The sequence below is a fragment of the Homo sapiens genome, chromosome 21, assembly GCF_000001405.40.
Source record: "Homo sapiens chromosome 21, GRCh38.p14 Primary Assembly".
Classification (NCBI taxonomy): domain Eukaryota; kingdom Metazoa; phylum Chordata; class Mammalia; order Primates; family Hominidae; genus Homo; species Homo sapiens.
In genome coordinates, this window is record NC_000021.9 from 13,539,999 (window position 1) to 13,559,643 (window position 19,645).

The following is a 19,645-nucleotide window of genomic DNA, read 5'->3' on the forward strand; positions in this document are numbered from 1 at the left end:
CAAGAAACACCAAGTTTCCTCCCTGTCATGAGAGACAATAAGTGAAATTAATGTGGGGAGATGGAAGCTGGATGGCCTTCAGGGGCTGACCTGCAGAGTGTTGAACTTCGGGATATAGCAGAGAGAGAACTTGACATGACTTGTTACCCCAGGCTGTGTAATCCTGGAAAAGAGCTACCATGCAGCCCATGCCTGGTCGACTGGAGGACCACCCTAGTGGAAAGGGGTCAATCTGGGCCTCTGGCCTGCCATGCACTCAAGCATAACAATTGCTTTTGTTTCACCTGCAGACGGAATATTTGATCCATTCCAACCAGGCATTTGCATCTTGATATCCTGTCTCTATTGCTAAAGTTTGTTTTAAATCATTTACTTCTACAGCGTCTACTTTGGTCCTATCATTAGATGGAGGAGTAACAACTGTTTCATTGTGAGAGGTTTTGGAAGAAGGCTTAGGGGAAGGTGTAGGTGGTGGGGGATCAATGAAACATATTTCAAAGTATCTGATAGGGTCTGTTCCTGAAACCTCATCTCCCATACCATAAAAACCAGCTTAAAGAAGGGAACCAGCTTAGAGAAGGGGAAGATCTTTGAGGGTTTGGGGTAATAACCTGTATTGGATTGCACTGGTTTAGCTGACAGCTAGGTGAAGCTGTTCCTTTAGTAAAATGAATGTATGGCTTTAGGAAATTACAACTACTGGTTGAGGCAGTCCATCCTTGCTCTTTAGTGGTCCACAGAACGTTGGACCAACTGCAGCATAAAAGCTCTATGGGGGGCAAGACTCCCAGCTGATGCCAGGGTCCTCATTGAAATCTTCCCAGACTAAATGATCCCAATTCAATAATGTCCAGTCTGAGAAGAGCCAGGAAGGACAGAGGTACTTTTCTGAAGTGGAGAGCTGTCTTTGACTTAAAAAGTCTCCATAGGATGTAACAAGGCAAGCATCAAATTTAATAGTTTGAGGTGAAATTGACTTGGTTACATTAATAACTAGGTGGTCAGCAATAGAGTGAGGAAAGAAGGAGTAACAGAATAGATGAAAGGAAGTTAAATTTTTCTTAGCTTTAGTTTGGTAGGGTTTTCCCCTGGGACTATGGCCCATGACTCTGGAGGGGGTGGCGCTTTCTTGACTCAGGTGTAACGGGTCCATCCTTTTTCTGCTATTCGGACTGCGGTTTCAGTAGTTAGGAGCATTAGGTAAGGTCCTTCCCAGGCCAGTTCCAGCTTTTCCTTCTCTCCAAATTTTGATGGGGACGTGGTCCCCAGGCTGATGTTGGTGTACTGGGAACTCTAGAGGTGGCACCTGTGCTAAAAGACCTTTAGTTCTGAGGGAAGATAAAATGGAAGATAAACCAAGTATATAATTTCTGAGAAACTGATCTTTTGTTTCAAATGTAGGAAGATCAGTAGTAGAATGTAGATAAGGTGATCCATAAAGCATCTCTTAAGGGGATAGGCCTGTGTCTTTTGGGGGAGCAGTTCAGACTCTTAACAGGGTAATAGGCCTTTCTACTTTCCCTAATGAAGATGAGTGCCAGGGAGTATGATAATCCCATGCTACATCCAGTACCTGGGATAATTTCTTAATGACATGTGCCGTGAAATGAGTCCTATTATCTGAATTAATGTTTTCTATTAATCTAAACCTGGGTATAATATTTTCAACTAATGCCTTGACTACATTATTAGCAGTTGTACTTGAAAAGGGAATAGCTTCTACCCAATGAGTAAGGTGATCTACTATTACTAATAAATATTTCAGACGACCAATTGGAGGCATCTGTGTGTAATCAATCTGGATACTTTGGAATGGCCTTAAGCCTGGACTCCTTCCCCCAAAGGGTAATCTTTTACTAAGCAACTATCTGTAACCTGTTTGGCCAGGGTATAAATTCCTATGCACCCATAAACTCTGAGGACTGCATCACACATGGCTTGGGACCCACAATCGGTCCCTTGATGCAGTTGGAACAAGAACTCCCTTATAAGGGGCTTGGATAACATTTCTCTCTGGTCTAGCAATATCCATTTTCCTTCTAAATTCTCTTTAGCACCTATTTTTATTAGTTTTTAGACCAAAGAAAGCCAAACACCATTTTATATTTGACAATGCTTCCTGTATGATTTTATACCAGATAAGCTAAATTTCACCTTTATATTAGTGTGCCATTAATGTTAAACTCAATTTTAATAAAACCTTGTAGGCATATTTATCCAATTTTAATGTCTGACCATAAGGTAAGATTTTTATAGACTCTTTTTAAGCCTTTATAATTTTTGTTAAAGAACAGGTTAGTGCTTTAAGAAAAACCCGTCGTGCTTTTATTTTAATGTCCAGTTTACAGAAAAACTGTACCAGTCAGCCTGAGCTCCTGTTATCTGAGTAACTTTGCAAGGAACTTGGGTACCCTCTTTAGTGAAAAACATAATATTCGGAGACATTTTTGCATACTAGGAATAGGAAAAAGTGTGTGAGAGGATAAGCAGAGAATCATATTTTCTGGACAAGGCACACTGTACTCCAACTATAATACACAGTAAACGTACTACTGTAAGCAGTAATACATTTAAAAAGTGTGCCATCTGGGTCAAAGAAATCAAAAAAACAAAACACCACAAAACCTGCGTAGGAAATCCATTCTGCTATTTTCTAGCTTTATAATATTGCACCGTATTCTTAATGCTTCTTTATCTTATTTTTATCATATGTAAAATGAAAGGAATGAATATATCCTAGAGATATTTTAAAGCTTAAAAAGATGTAAAACTATTACTACATTTCTTGTTGTTCAATGTCAACTCAGTTGTAATTAGTACTAGTACCACAAAATATCATTTGTTTTATGCATAAAATTAGAATATGCAAAAATATTGTAAAATTTTGGAAGTGTTGTATTATTGTAAAATGTTTTACTACGTTTTTATACTTACTTTTTTTACTTATACTTTTTTGTATTTAATTTTTTTCTTAAATGCTAATGCACATTTGTTTTCTTTTTATTTTGTTATTTCTTAAATAACTCGGAATGCTTTGGCTCAGAAACATGTTTTTCCCTTCACTAATAGGAATTATTGAATCCCTTTAGGAGACTCTAAAGACTGAGTCTGGAAAACAATTGGTTAACATTATACCAGACTGTGACTAGAACCCAGTAAAAAAAGATAGGAATAGCCTTGAATGCTATAAAAGAGGAAAAGCCTAAAATAGCCTGTAGTGGTGAATCCCCAAAAGTCTTGGTCTTGTAAGTGATCAAGGAGGGGTAAATTTATGATGAAATCTAAGGTCTTGAAATAGGGTTCTGTCATTTTCAGAGCTTACTTGGGCAATTTAAAAATGAAACGTCAACTGAATTAAAAAGTCCACATAGAAAAAATTATAATATCTACCAAGTACTAATATAAAAATACTCTAAGAAGGTAAGATCATAAAAATCTAGGGGGAAAATATTTTATACTAAGATTCAGACTCCTACTATCATGAAGATAGGTGGTAGAGAATTATAACTCATCTCTGGTTCCCCAGATTATTTTATCAGTATTAAACAGAAGTTAACATAGGCCAATACATAACACACCAGTAAATAATTTGTTCAGGTGGTTGTTTTTCATGAACAACATATATTAAGCAGCCACTGTGACGAAGGGTTTGTGAAAGTGTTGAAAGTAAATGCCTTCTGCTGGTTAGTCATGCCCTTTTACATTTTACTGTATCTTTCACACCATTCATAGATGTGTCTTCATGTGCTGTCAGATATATAGTGCAGTATAAAATGCATTCGTATCTAGATCTATCACATGCTGTATATCACGTATCATATACTTATAAATAGATCTGTTATCTCTGTGGCTTGGAGATATGCACCTATCATTACTCCAAAGTTGGTGTGAGTGGTACTGTTTTCAAAGGGAGAGATAATAGTATATTAACCATTTATTTATAAGGCAATGTCATTTTCTCAATGTCATCAAAGTCTATATCTTAAGTTTTAAAATAAAGAATACAAAGTAGGAAATTTAAAAAATATACAATGGAGAAAGAATACTTAAAATCACTAAAGTTTATTTCATGAGTTTTTATTATCATTACAGTTTGCTTCGAATCAATCAACTGACCTTTCCCACAGGCCAAGTTGATTTGCTTTAAGATTACAGTGAATCCACTTGTAAGTGTATGGAGACAGGGCTAAAGTGGTAACAGTCTCATAAGTTTACTTTGTTTCTAGGAAAAGAACGTTTCTTATGACTACAGAAACCTGACCAAGCTTCTGATACCGACTCTTCAGTTTTGACATAGCTGCCTTCACTTCTTTGTTTCTTAGCATGTAGATTACAGGGTTTAAAATAGACGTGAAGATGGTGTAGAATACAGCAAGGACTTTGTCAACTGAGTAACTGCTGAAGGGCCACACATAGATGAAAATACACGGTCCAAAGAATAAAGTGACCACAGTGATGTGAGCAGTCAATGTGGAGCAGGCCTTCACCATGCTTACAGAGGAGCTATTCCTAACTGTAACAAGTATTACAGTGTAGGAGACAACCAAGAGGAGAAAGGAACTCAGAGAAAGAAAGCCACTATCTGCAACTATTAGTAGGCTGACAACATAAGTGTCTATGCAGGCTAACTTGGTCACTAGAGGAAGGTCACAGAAAAAAACTATCTACCTTATTAGGACCACAAAATGGCAGATTAACAGTGAATGCCAACTGGCTGGTGGTATGGATGAAGCCCACAAACCAGGAAATGAGGAAGAGCACAACACATACACAGCAGCTCATGATTGTCATGTAGTGGGGAGGTTTGCATATAGCAACATAACGGTCATAGGCCATGGAAACTAGGAGCACCATTTCACTGCCAGTGAAGAGATGAACAAAGAAAATCTGGGCCAGGCGGGCATCAAAAGAAATAGTCTTGTGCTCAACCAGAAAGTCTGCAATCATTTTAGGGGTAGCAGAAGAGGCAACACATACGTCTATAAATGACAGGTTGGCAAGCAGAAAGTACATGGGGGTGTGAAGGCGGGAATCTGAGGTCACAGTGAGGATGATGAGAAAGTTGCCCAACAGAATTGCTAGATAAAGTAGTGAAAATATAAGAAACAAGAAAGGTTGGAGCTCCCTTGAACTAGACAGTCCCAGCAACACAAATTCTGTCACCCAAGAATGATTTGTCTCATTCATTGAATTTTGGAAGGGACTTAATTTCAGCTACATGAATAGGAGAGAAACAGAGATCAGTTAATGAAGTGAGCATGGGTTTGGTTTTCTAATTACACTTAAACTTTTCAGAATTCCAATTCCTATTCCTATGTATGTGTCTGGGTTTTCATGAGTTATTACAAGTTATACAGCTAAGTGTGGAAGATTGGGTTAAAGGGGAGAGTTGTCAAGGAGATGTTCAACCAACTGGGATATCTAAATACATTAATTTAAGAAATAAAATCGACAATTTAAAAATGAATTTGAGCATCTGAAGTTTTTGTGACACTACAGAAATCCCGTCTAAAAGTCTACAGAGACAAAATCTAAACCAATTTTTCTAAAGTAAATGATAGTAAAAATTTTTTGAACATCTGCCACAGAGGAAGATAATTTCACAAACTTGATGACTAAAAAAGTTAGACACAAAAGAGTATACACTGTATTGGTCTATTTAAATGAAGTTCAAAAATGGCAAAACTAAGGTGTAGAAAAACCTCATAGCAGTTATCCTTAAGGGACAGGAAGTGGTCATGGGAGGGGTTTCTGAAGTGCTGGTAATATTCTTTCTTGATGTGGTTGATAGTTACATGGGAGTGTTTACTTTATGAAAACTTACTGAAATATGAACTTTTGCTTTTTTCTCTTTTGTATACATACGTTGCATAATTATGAAAATTAAAATAGAAAGAGAGACAGCATTAGATTTGTGTAAGAGAGCTCACAGGAGAAATCATTGCCTTAAGTGATTATATCTTATTTCTTCTCTACAGTTAAACATTATGTAAACGAAAGTACAGAACCCTGGCAAAATTGAAAGGCCCCAATATTATTGGAACTCTTTTATGATTCAGCTTTTCATGGAGTTCTACTTTATCATGAAATCTAGCACACTGGTTCCTTTCAATTAATCCCTGAAGGTATGAAGCGTCTTTAAACTTAGCCATTGGTGTTACTAACCATAGACAGTTTATTGAGCTATGATTGATATTTCATTTGATGTGACGTGGCTTAAAAACGTATAAGTTATATTGCTTACTATAAATACTAATATAACTAATAAGTTATATTACTTATTACTAAGGAAATCAGACCAGAAAAAAAAGATTTTTCTTTTCTACTCAGTTACTCTATATTCTATGTTATCAGAACTTTCTTCCTTTTATGTTATTTTTATTTGTAGAAGCTATTTAGAACTTAGAAAAGTTTTATGGTAAATAAGAAAAAATAAAATGTGAATTTTAAAGGAGCATTACATTATCTGATTTTGAAGAATCTTTCTCTACATCTTAATCAGGTCTTGGGAGAGGATGTCTTTTATTTTACTCATTTCTAACCACTTGCAATTTTTGATATTAATGTCTTCTTAGATCATAGCTGCAAATTGCTAAGTCTCTCTTTGGGTTAGACTGGAGGGTTTATTTATAAGAACAGAACGTGTGATAAATAATTTTAACTCCCAGAAACCAAATTTAGACTCACCTCTGTATTTCAAATCTCCAATTCTCCCAAAAAAATACAAATTTTCTCCCTTATTTGCAAATGATGTGTTCCAAGACCTCCAGTGGATGCTTGAAACCACTGATAGTACTGATTCCTATATAAGCTATATTTTTCCTATACATGCATACCTAAAATAAAGTTTAATTTATAAATTGGGCACAGTGAGAGATGAACAGTAATAACTAACAATAAAATAAAAAAGTATAACAAGATACTGAAATAGCATTTATGTGAATGTGTTTCTTTTTTTCCTCTCTCTCGCTCTCAAAATAGGTTAATATTTTTGGACCACAGTTGACCTGAGGTAACTGAAACTGCTGAAAACAAAACCATGGATAAGGGAGAACTCTTGTATTATCACAGATTATATCAAAACTATGGCTCTAGGCTTTTTAGAAGAGTTTAACAAGTGGAGCTTGAAGGTAAGGCAGGCTACCGAAAAAAATTATACAAATCTCTCTTTCTTCTCACTTCCCAGAAGTCCTGACCCTTCAATCCTGTGACGTAAATACTGCATTGAATCCCTAAGGCATGAATAGAAGTAAAATCTAACAAAATCAGTGAATAGGAGTTCATAGGTACTCCATCAGAAAGAGCAAAGCAATAAGCACAAGGAACGAGTGTCCTATGGAGACCCTCCAGTGCTGCATTAGAGAGGGGCATCAGGAGGCATTTCTGAGCACAGAAACTTCCTGGTGTCTTTAGGCTAAGACACATAATCCAACTATGTGAAAGACAGTCATAAGAATCATCCTCCTGATAGCTTTTCTGACTCTTCTGCAGAGCTGTATTGTTCCATTTTCATTGGCTTCTTCAGGTGCTCAGTAAAGGAAAATACCCTGTTTTTCATGGAGAAAACATTGGGCAAATTGATTCAATCAAGAAATTTCTTAGTATATAAGATTAAAGTGGTAGAACACATGAACTCTGAACCTGTTTCTTACCTAAATCCATTCTTTTTTAGTTCACTTACTTTATATAAATTTAAATGCCTGCTTTTCCCCAGGCACTGTGCTATGCACTGGTGATGAGGCAGTTAGGTTTATAACTTGTCTCCCTAAAAATTATTTGCTAATATTAATAACCCTTTCCTTATTTAGACAAGCTGATGAATTCACTTCCCTTTACCCCTAGTACATTCCCTATTAGATAAAATGGACTGTATTTTTGTTCCCAATAAAATCGCTGTACTGTAGTGAAAACAAAGCTATTATTTTAAAATGTTCTGTGTTGTATCACTGGGTAACTGTGTGATGCTGAGCAGTTCCTTTAGCCATTCAGGGATTATTATCATCAAATATTAAATCTTGAGACTATTAACCTCAAAGAGACACTAAAAATATTTCTTAAAAGATTATATAAATGAAAATTCTTTAACCAACTGTACTGACTAAGTATATGTATGCATTCTTAGTAATGTATTATTTTAGATCAGAAGAAGTATTTTCTCATAATTTTACATTATGTGGTCTGACTCACACAAGAATGAGTTTCCAATAAGTAGATGTTTTATGTAAAGACGTTTTTTAAAAAAAAATTCTTGAAAATTTGAAGATGGATTAATGCATGTATACAGGGCTGTGCTCAGCAAATCTCAGTTCCCTCCTATTTTAAATTCTGTCAAATGAATCTTGCCTCAATATTTCTATCTCAGATATTATGACTGATAGATGAAGTGAAATAAATAGGTATCGTTTACAGGGGCCACCAAACTCTACAAGTTCAAATAGGTATCTTTCACAAACTTGCCAATATTGCTGTTCCCCTGAACCCCTCTCCCACTCCAAATGCAGATCAGAGAAATAGCAGTCTCTCTATTATAGACTATATTGGAGACAAATGCTGGTGCATGGTCTTCAGAAGGATGCTGACAAAACACTTTTACTTACCTAAGATGAAATGGAAAGTGTGGAGCTATCCTATAATCTATAGTCATTAATGCTTGGGAAGAATTTCGTTGTTACTTCCACATCTCCTAAGAAAACAGAACAATCCCTCAGGAGATAAGTCATAAAGAATTTACTTCTAAAGACAGAAGTGGATTCAGGGTGTCTGTAGCTGAGTTGTCTTCAAGGAGGTGAGACAGGTCTGGATGCTGTATTTTAATCTAAGTCTTAGGCAACTAGAGGAGCATTTGGAGCAGTCAGAAATCTGAAAGGAGAAAAAGAGTAGACTGAAAAGAAGAAATGCTGAAAACAAAATCTTCTGCTTCACAATTTTGCAAAGGATTCAGCCTCACTGGATCTATAAAACTGGAGAATGTTTTAGGAAGTACCATCAATAATAGCGATTTTTATATGATTTGGGATCTGTAAAGACTCTGAAGTAGTAAGATACTGCATTATTTTATCAAAAATTTCATCAGGGAAGATTTAGGGTTTTCTTCCTTTCATCTGACTTTCCCTCGATTCAAAGTGTAGGTGACTTTTTACTTGCTTCTGACAGATATATATAATCATTATATAACTAAATCAAACATCTTGTGCAGTAGTGATATAATGAATTTACCATAATAGTAGTAATATTTTAAAATATATTTTAAGGAATTATACATGGGATATGCTTTTGTTCACAAATAGAATATATATCCAGCAAGAAATGTTAAATTTCATTAGTGGTTTATATGACTACTTTCTAGTCATAGATTAACAAGGAGCATTCTAAACTATAAGCTTTAAAAACCTGAAGTTCAAATCAATGGATGCTGGCCAAAGACATTATGGACTATCAAAAATGTATTAGCCATATTGAGTACAATGTACACTACTTGTGTTTGTGGGTGATAGGTGAACTAAAAATCTTATACTTCACTACTATATAATTTATCAATGTAACCAAAAACTGCTTGTTATCCTAAAAGTTATTGAGATAAAAGAATATATTAATTTTTAAAAATTAAATACATGTATTAGCCTAGGATATAGAAAATATATTTTCCAATTCTATCTTTCACTAAATAACTTTATAATTGTAAGCAAATTACATACCCTCCCAGGTGCTCTGTGTTTCCTCAAAAAAAGAGTAGAATTCCCTCTCCCAAATGCAGTCTCCGGTTTTTGAAAAACATGATCCAAACTGTGTAAGTCAATTCAAAGATAAGAATAATTATAAAATATTATATTGAAATTAAAGTATATCCAATCAAAAGCATAAAACAGCTGGTTTTAGTAAAGTGATGGCAGCAGTCACTCTTCAGAGTTAGGTATTGGGACAACGGTAAATAGGTAAAATGGGCATAGAATATTCAAAGATTAATTTAAAACAATACGGAGGAGAATTGACTGTCTCTGGTCTCTGTTCTGTTCTGACTCAATCTCTGTCCCTGGCCTTAAAATATCAGCACCTACCCAGGAAAACAATATTCACCAGGAGCCATTGGATGAGGGACAAAGATAGAGAACCCATGTCTTTTCCAGACTTCAGTCTTCACCTTTTACACTCTGCAGTATCAGTATACTCAGCACACTGATATAAGAAAAGCCATCACGATTATTACAAGCTAATTAGGAATTTGACGTCACTGGACGGTAGTGACCAAGAGACCCAGAGGAGAGTTGTGATAGCAGAAATACCTTAATCAGGGATAATTACGTGAGACAATTTGTTTGCCCACAATAATTATGGTGCATCACCTTGAGGATTTCACAAATGGAAGAAGCAGCAGGCCTAATGGAAATGCTTTGTTCTGTAAGAGATGTAACACTTTTTTTAAAAAGCAATGAGTAATTTTGTTAGCTAATTCTTTATGTTTCCGAAGAGCTTTAGAAAAGCACTATTGGGAGTGTCAAAAATTGATGGGGAGTCATCATGTGACTGTGCATATTACACGGCAAACACCTTGGCATTTTGACAGCTTCACAAAAGCCATGTGCTTGGTTTCTAGGGCAAGGATTTTAGAGTAAAAAAGTGAAAGCTGCTTTATTAATACAATAGAGATACTGTATCCTACAGAGTAGATTCTAGTAAAGAGACTCCAAATAATTTTGCAAACATTTATACTTCTGAGTTCAAATAAAGAATTTGAGCATTAATGGGACTCTAGGTTCATAATACAAAACTCAAGACTCTAGTACCATACAGTCTAGATGTGTCATGATCAAAACTCCCCTGTGCACCCCTTTACAGATAACCTCTTCCCCTCCTCAAACACCTGGAAACCATTCTTCTGTTTTCCATGCCTACAGATGTGTGTTTTCCAGAACATGAGACAAATGAAATTGTACAATGTGTAGCCTTTTCAACTGTCTTCTTTCATTTAGCAATATACATTCAAGATTCATTCTTGTTGTTGCATGGATTAATAGCTCTTTCTTTGTTACATGGAATAGTATCCCACTGTATTTCTACCACAGTTTGTGTATCCATTTGTATATTGAAGGACTTCTTGGTTGCTTTTTCTCTGTTTTTGGTGATTATGAATAAAACTGCTATAAACATTTTTTGTAAGTTTTTATGTTTATGTTATTTTTCAAGTCAGGTGGAGGATTTGATTTGATAAGAAGAAATATTTGATTCTATTTTAAACTCTGAAATTAGGTGCAAACAGATTAGGATTGGTATGTCTTCATGATTGATTAAGCCCCTTATATGACATGCTTCTCTTTACTTTTGATTATATTTTTTCTTCTGAAATCTACAGAGTCAGATATTGATGTGACTGCTTTAGCTCCTTTATAATTACTATTTGCATTGTATTGTATATCTTTGTTCATCTTTTTATGTTTAAGTAGTCTGTGTCTTTATATTTAAAGTGGATTCAAGGTAGGCAGCAAATAGTTGGCTTTTGCTTGTATTGTTCATTCTAGCAATGCCTGCCTTTTAGTAGACTTCTTATACTATTTACATATAATGTAAATGATATGTTGGGTTTATATCTACTACCTTGCTACTTTTTTTTAATTTGGGACTTCCTTTACTTTCCGTTTTTGTGGTAGAATTATATCAACCATGATATGTCTTGCTTTTGTTTGACTTACAAAGTCTTCATTTCACTTTCATTTTGAAGGATATTTTACATACTTAAATGATTGTGTTGACTGTTGTTTTCATTCTGTTTTTTTAACAATTCTAATCCTGTTTTATAATAAGTATTCAGTTATTCAAATCCTGGTTTTTCAGTATATGGTTGTTCTTTTATCCATGGCTACCGTAAGATATTTTCTGTATGACAAGTTTCCCATATGAATTGTGATATGTCTTCTTGTGATTTTCTTTTGATTTATCTTGCTTGAGGTTGGTAGAACTTCTTGACTTTTTTTATTATAACTTTCAATCAAATTGAGAACATTTTGGTCCCCATTTTATCCTTTCCTCTGGAACTCCAGTTACATACGTGTTAGGCCAGTTGGCATTCTCTTGCATATTGCTGTGACTCTGTTCAGTTTTTCCTTTCACATTTTTGTCTCTGTACTTTGGTTTAGAGATTTTCTATTGCTGTGTCTTCTAGTTTACTGATCATTTCCTTTGTGGTGTCTAACATTTTTCACCTCACGAAATCTTGATGTTGTTAATATATTCCATTCCTCTCTTCATTCTGTTTATATTTTTTATTTATATACTTGAGCATATTTATGACAGCTCTCTTAAAGTTATTTTATTCTAATTTCCACATCTTGGTAATTTCTGAGCTTATTTGAATCAGTTTCCAATTCTACTCATTATGATGTATATTTTTATGCTTTTTTACATTTATCAATGGTGGACGCTAAAAATATTTCTGAGTGCTGGATTCTTTCTTTTTTTATTCAAAAGTAGTAGTCTTTGTTCAGTCGCAAAGTTACTTGTGGGCTAGGCTAATTATGTCATTTTATTTTTAAATATTTTAGGGTGGGTTTAGAGTAGGCTTCTCTAAGCTACTTTAGCCTTAGTATTAAGGAATTATCTGGTATTTAAGGAATTGCCCAGGGTCGACTAAGGTCTTGGGTATTTTTATTTTATTTTATTTTATTTTATTTTATTTTATTTTTTAGTTTATTTTATATTTTATTTTATTTTATTTATTTATATGTTATGTTATGTTATGTTATGTTATGTTATGTTATGTTATGTTATTTTTTATTGAGATGGAGTTTTCACTCTTGTTGCCCAGGCTGGAGTGCAATGGCATGATCTCGGCTCACCGCAACCTCCACCTCCCAGGTTCAACCCATTCTCCTGCCTCAGCCTCCCAAGTAGCTGGGATTACAGGCATCTTCCACCAAGCCTGGATAATTTTGTATTTTTAGTAGAGATGGGGTTTCTTTATGTTGGTCATGCTGGTCTCGAACTCCCGATCTCAGGTAATCCATCCGCCTCGGCCTCCCAAAGTGCTAGGATTATAGGCATGAGCCACCGCACCCGGCCAGTCTTGGGTATTTTTAAAAGACTGTCTTCTCTGGCTGATCAGACATCATACGTCTCCTGAGTAAACTCACACAGTTCAGCTTATAGCTCTACAAAATTTTTTCTTGATTTTAGAAGATTTAGCCTTTGTGTATTCATCTTACTATTCAATAAACAACTCAAGTGGGCCCCATAGAAACTTCTGAAGAGTTTTTCTGTTTTGTTGTTGTTGTTGTTGTTGTTGTCGTCCTGGATGTAGATTTTGGCCATCGCCAGCTCTCTGAACTCCATTTTCTGTTTCTAACTCATCAGGTCAACTGTACTCTGCTTTGAATTGCCTTTGCTGCCCTGAAATGTAGAAAGTACCTCCAAGGAGGAAACTAGGTTGATCATAATATTAATCTTATATTTTATTCTCTCAAGGATCTTAGTCTTGTGTTGCATGTAGACTAATGCTTAAACACAATGTAGTGGTATATTTTATCCAGTTTTCTTGTTGATTATGAAGGGAAATTAAATCCAGTAGTACCTCATGGCTGGAAGTGGAAGTTCATACTGTTTTCTTTTTTTTTTTTTTTTTTTTTTTTTTTTTGAGACGAGTCTGGCTCTGTTGCCCAGGCTGGAGTGCAGTGGCGCAATCTCGGCTCACTGCAAGCTCCGCCTCCCGGGTTCACGCCATTCTCCTGCCTCAGCCTCCCGAGTAGCTGGGACTACAGGCGCCCGCCACTACGCCTGGCTAATTTTTTGTATTTTTAGTAGAGACAGGGTTTCACCATGTTAGACAGGATGGTCTCGATCTCCGGACCTCGTGATCCGCCCGCCTCGGCCTCCCAAAGTGCTGGGATTACAGGCGTGAGCCACCGCGCCCGGCCACTGTTTTCTTTTAAAGAAAAAAATCATGAATATTGTTTACTTCTCTTTTAAAATGATTTATAATTCATTTACCATGAAATTTATCCTTTTAAAGTGTACAATTCAGTAAATTTTATCATGTTAACAAGGTTATGCAGCTATCACTACTGTCTAACTCTAAAACATTTTCCACAACCCCAAAAGAAACCCTGCAACCATTAGCATTTACTTCCCATTCTCCCTAAATGCAGCCTTTGGATACCATTAAACTATTTTCTGACTCTTTGGAATTGCCTATTCTGGACATTTCTAATAAGTGACATGACATAATAATAATGTGTCTTTCCTTAACTTGGCATATTGTTTTTAAGTTTCATCCATGTTATGGCATGTATGAATGCTGTATTCCCTCTTATAGCTATGTAATATTCCATTGTAAGGATATAGAAATTTTGTTTATTCATTCATCAGTTGATGGGAATTTAGGTTGTTTTCAGTTTTGATTGTCGATAGTACTGCTGCTATGAATACTTGTATACAAGTTTTTGGATAAACATCTTATTTCTCTGAAATGGAATAAAAACCTATGAACCCTGACTAGAATTGGAATTTCTGGGGCATATGTTTCACTTTTTGGGGAACTACCAAACAGATTTCCAGAGTGGCTATACCAATTTACATTCTTACAAGCAATAGATGAGGAATTTAATTTCTTGACAATTTTGACAGCATTTGTTATCTTCCATTTTTTAAATTACTTACAGCTATCCTAATGGTTGTGAATTGGTATATCATTATAGTTTAAATTTCCATTTTATTAATGACTAATGGTGTTGAGCAATATTATGTGGTTAAGGTTATGTGCGTGTCTTGTTTGGAGAAAAGTCTATTCAAATCCATTGCCCATTTTTAAGTAGGTTATTTGTCTTTAGTTATTATTTTTGAGAGTTCTTTATATATTCTGGATACAAGACCCATGTCAGACATAACTTCACAATTTTTCATTTGGTGAGTTTTCTTTGAACTCTCTAGATTGTGTCATTTAAACCTCAACAGTTTTTAATTTTGATAAAATTAAATATCTATTTTTCTTTGATTACTTGTGTTTCAGGTGTCAAATCAGAGAAATTATTACCTAATCCAAAGTCACAAAGATTTACATATGTTTTGTTATGCTGTGTTTTCATTTTCATTTTAAAGCATTTTATAATTTGCCTTGTAATTCTTTCTTTGGTCCAATGCATATTAGGAATATGTTGTTGAACTTCCACTATTTGTTAATTTTTCAAGTTTTATTGTGTTACTGATCTCTAATTTGATTCCATTGTAATCAGAAAACATAGTTTGCATGATTCTAATCCTTTTAAATTTAGTGAGACTTGGTTTAGGGCCTAATACATGGTCTATCCTGGAGAATGTTCCATGTGCACTTGAGGAAACTGTATTCTACTGTTGTTTGGTGGAGTGTTTTATAAATACATTAAGTCTAGGTGACTTACAGAGTTTTTCAAGTCTTTTATTTCCTTGCTGATCTTCTTAGTGTTCTACTTAAAAGTATTAAAATTTTTGTCTATTATTGTGAAACTGTCTATTTCTCCCTTGAATTACGTAAGTTTTTGCTTTATGTATTTTAGGACTCTGTTGCCATTTAATGAAATAAATAAACACATACACACATGTGTACAAAATTGTTTAATCTTCTTGATGGGTTTATGCTTGTATCATTACACAATGTCCTTCTCTCTCTATTAAACTATCACAAGGACAAAAAACCAAACACCGCATGTTCTCACTCATAGGTGGGAATTGAACAATGAGAACACATGGACACAGGAAGGGGAACATCACACACCGGGGCCTGTTGTGGGGTGGGGGGAGGGGGGAGGGATAGCATTAGGAGATACACCTAATGTTAAATGATGAGTTAATGGGTGCAGCACACCAACATGGCACATGTATACATATTTAACCTGCACGTTGTGCACATGTACCCTAAAACTGAAAGTATTATATATATATATATATATATATATATATAAAAAGATGTTTTGTTATAAAGTCCATTTTATCTGATGTTGATATATCCACTCCAAGTCTCTTTTGCTTATGGCTGTTGGCATACTGTATATTTTTTTCATGAATCTTCTGTCAACCTATTTGTATGTTTGAATCAAAAGTGAATTTTTTATAGGCGTCATATAGATAAGTCATGTTTTCAATCCATTCTGCTTATATCTGCCTTTTAATTGAAGTATTTAATCTAGTCATTAATAATAAGGTAGGGCATCTGCTACTCTGTTATTTGTTTCTATATGTCTTGTATCTTTTCTGTTTCTCTTTCTTATTATAGTCTTCTTTCATGTTAAACGTATGTTTGCTAGTATATCATTTTAATTATCTTGTATTAGTGGTTTCCCTGGGGCTTAGAATTATCACCTTAACTTATAACAATCAAGTTTGGATTAATATCTATTTAATTTCAATAATATTTTTAAAACTTTGCTTCCATATAGCTCTGTTTTTACCCTTTCTCCGGGCTGTTATTGTCATACAAATTACATCTTTATACATGTTGTGCTGAACAACAAGTGGATTTGTAGGTGTTTCTTTGTGAAGTTATCTTCTAAATCAGGTAGGAGAAAAAAGTATTACAAATAGAATATATATTTATGTATTTTACATTTACATATGCATTTACCTTTATTAGTCCTCTTTATTTCTTCATATGTATTCAAGTTACTGTCTAGGACTTTTACTTCAACCTAACGGGCTCTTTTTAGTATTTACTGTTAAGAACCAAACTACTTTTCTTTAATAAATGTTCCCTGGGTTGCTGTAAGCCTTTCCTTAATCTCCGGGATATGGAAACAGTGGCCCTGTAAATTTTTGTCAATTTTTCATTTCTTTATGGAAGAGGGATTTTAGATTAGCTCCTTACTTTATCATTTTTGGTGGCATAACACTCTATTTTGTAGGGTGTTTTTTCTTTTACCATTTTTACTGGATATATATTCAGTGGAAAATAAATCATTCTACCAAAAACACACATGGACTTGTATGCTCATCACTGCACTATTCACAATAGCAAAGACATGGAATCAACCCAGATGTCCATCAGTGGTATAATAGTTTGGATTTATAAAAATGGTAAATATACACCATGGAATACTATGCAGCTATAAAAAAGAATAAAATCATGTTGTTTGCAGCAACATGGGTAGAGCTGAAGGCCATAATCCTAAGCAAATTAACTCAGGAACAGAAAACCAAGTACTGCATGTTCTTACTTATAACTACGAGTTAAACATTGAGCTCATACAAATATAAATATGGTAACAATAGACACTGTGGACTACTAGAGGGTGAAAAGGGAGCTTGGTTTAAAAACCACCAATCAGGTACTATGCTCACTACCTGTGAGATCCATACTCAGTATGTGAGGTTTGGAGTATGGATCCCATCGCATGTGTGAGCATCACACAAGATTCCCCTGTAACAAATCTACACATTTATCCCCTGTATCTAAAATAAAAGTTGAAAAGGAAAAAAAATTTCCAGGGATTTTGATGATCAGATGAATCTGATAACCACTCAGCTAGTTGGCCTCTAAAGTCCTTTTGAATTAGATGTGCTGTAAACCTCACCTCCTCACCTCATGTGCTGTGAACCTCACCTCCTTCTACTTTATGTTTACATTTTTGGCTTTTTTGTTAAAATTATTTTTGCCTTGAGCGTTGATATTTCAAATAAGTGGAGTAGATAACAGTGTCATTCCTAGATAGCATTGTGTGCTTATGGCTGATATTAAACTTTTCAGCCATATATACTTTTTATATTCTTTATGAAAGTTTTCTTTACAACAATAATTATTATTTTTAAACAGTTTTTGCACCTATTGAAGTAACTATATATATATTATATATACAGTTTTTCTTTTATTCTGTTAATACAGTGAATTGTATTAAATTATTATCAAATGTTCATTCAGTTCATCATCAACATTGCATTGCTGTGTGATCTCAAATGGATACTATTTTATTATTCTGTTTTCCTGAATTTGTATTGCTCTGTGTTTAAAGGAATTTTGTATTTTTGTTTTTGAGCGAGATTGGCCTATAATTTTTCCTTCTTGTATGACCCTTTTCAAGTTTTGAAGTCAGAATTATTCTAGCTCATTATGTGAGCGAAGCAACGTTTTCTCAGAACGAGGAAACAATGTCAGTCTGTTTCAGATGACACTTTATTAATTTTTTAATTTTCATTTTCAGTTTTTGTGGGTAGATAGTAGGTGTTCAGAAGACACTCTTGCACTGAGAAAATCAACAGTTTATTTTCTCCTTATGACTTGCTTTACCCATTTCTTCATGAGGCTATATTTTCTACAGTTCATCATTTCCAATGTACATATATATATATGCATTTAATTTTATGTTACAGAATTAGGGAAGAAATTATTCAAGATAGACTCCTAGAAATACAATTATCAGCTCGTGAGTACGGACATAATTTGATAAATACAGCAAATTGCTTTCTAAAAGTTGTTCAGTAATTTTTGACCAAATAGAGCTTCCATGTTTTCAAATTTTTTTGTCTTATTTAGTAATATCCTTTTGTTTTACTCTTTATTAATCTAATAGGGGTCCATTTTTATTATCTATTAGATCAATTTTTTTGCTACGTTTGTTTTCTATTTGTATATCTTTAGAAAATATTCTCATAATATTTGACTCACAAAACTTTATAGGTAATAAAATAAGTCTGACAGAGAGGGTTAAGTTCTAAAAACATGTATAATGGGTAAGAGAACATATGTGAATGTATGATGAGATTGATTTAGTTATCTTGCAGTGATATGTAACCAATAATTACCTTATTATCCTTACAATACTATAAAGTAGATATTATTATAATCCTAACTTTGTGTTAGAAGCAGCTACAATTTAGTGCTAAAGTTAGCGTCACAAGGCACACTGGTAGTCTGAAGGTTTGAATGCACAAAGAACATACGTTTAACTGCTATATATTGCTTAAATAAGGATCTGATTACGGAAAACCTCTATCTAAGGATGTCTACCTGGTCTTTAAAATAAATTTTTATTAGTATTATTATTATTTTAAGAGACAGGGTCTTGCTCTGTCACTCAGGCTGTAGTGCAACTATGTGATCATGGCTCACAGCAGCCTTGACCTCCTGGCCTCAAGTGATCCTCCTACCTCTAAAATAACAAAGTTGTGCCCAATTATATTCTCTGCTCTTTCTGAAGTATACATCAGCATGCTCACTTTTATCTTGCTACTTCAATCCCATGCTTGTGTTAGCAGTAACAATAATCAGTCATAATTCACTATTTTGTTTTATATTAGGCTCTCACACCCAAACCCCAAGTCCTCATGCTCAAAAACCCAGGTTGCCTTGATTTGGTAATAATTTTAGCCCAGAATCCCTTTATCTCTCTGAATGGCAACATGTATAGTAGCTTTTAAGCTTGATGCGATTAAATTCCACATACCAATTTTGAGATAAATCTCAGGAAAGTAATAAAGGGTGAAGAGGAGAAGCTTCCAAAACTTTTTAAAAAATAATTTAAAAAAGGGAATCACAGGAGTCTATAAAGGAACTATTTAAATATCATGATACTCCCCAAAGTCTCAGATAGCCAATCTCATGAATTGCAAAAGCCAATTAAAAAACGAACTTCGTTAAGTGAATTCATCTTGCTATGGTAGTTATTAACACTATTTTGGTTGCTTCTCCCCCATATCA

The 19,645-nt window shown here is 34.5% G+C and overlaps 1 long non-coding RNA gene and 1 pseudogene across 1 annotated transcript; one reads left to right on the forward strand and one right to left on the reverse strand.

Moving 5' to 3' along the window:
* OR4K11P (olfactory receptor family 4 subfamily K member 11 pseudogene) lies at positions 4,233–5,187 on the reverse strand (annotated as a pseudogene).
* Positions 6,035–18,463, forward strand: LINC01674 (long intergenic non-protein coding RNA 1674). The gene is made up of 4 exons (NR_110544.1): positions 6,035–6,125; positions 6,982–7,130; positions 16,395–16,513; positions 18,319–18,463. It is a non-coding gene; the product is annotated as a long intergenic non-protein coding RNA 1674 (long non-coding RNA).
* Positions 18,464–19,645: the final 1,182 nt, after the last annotated feature.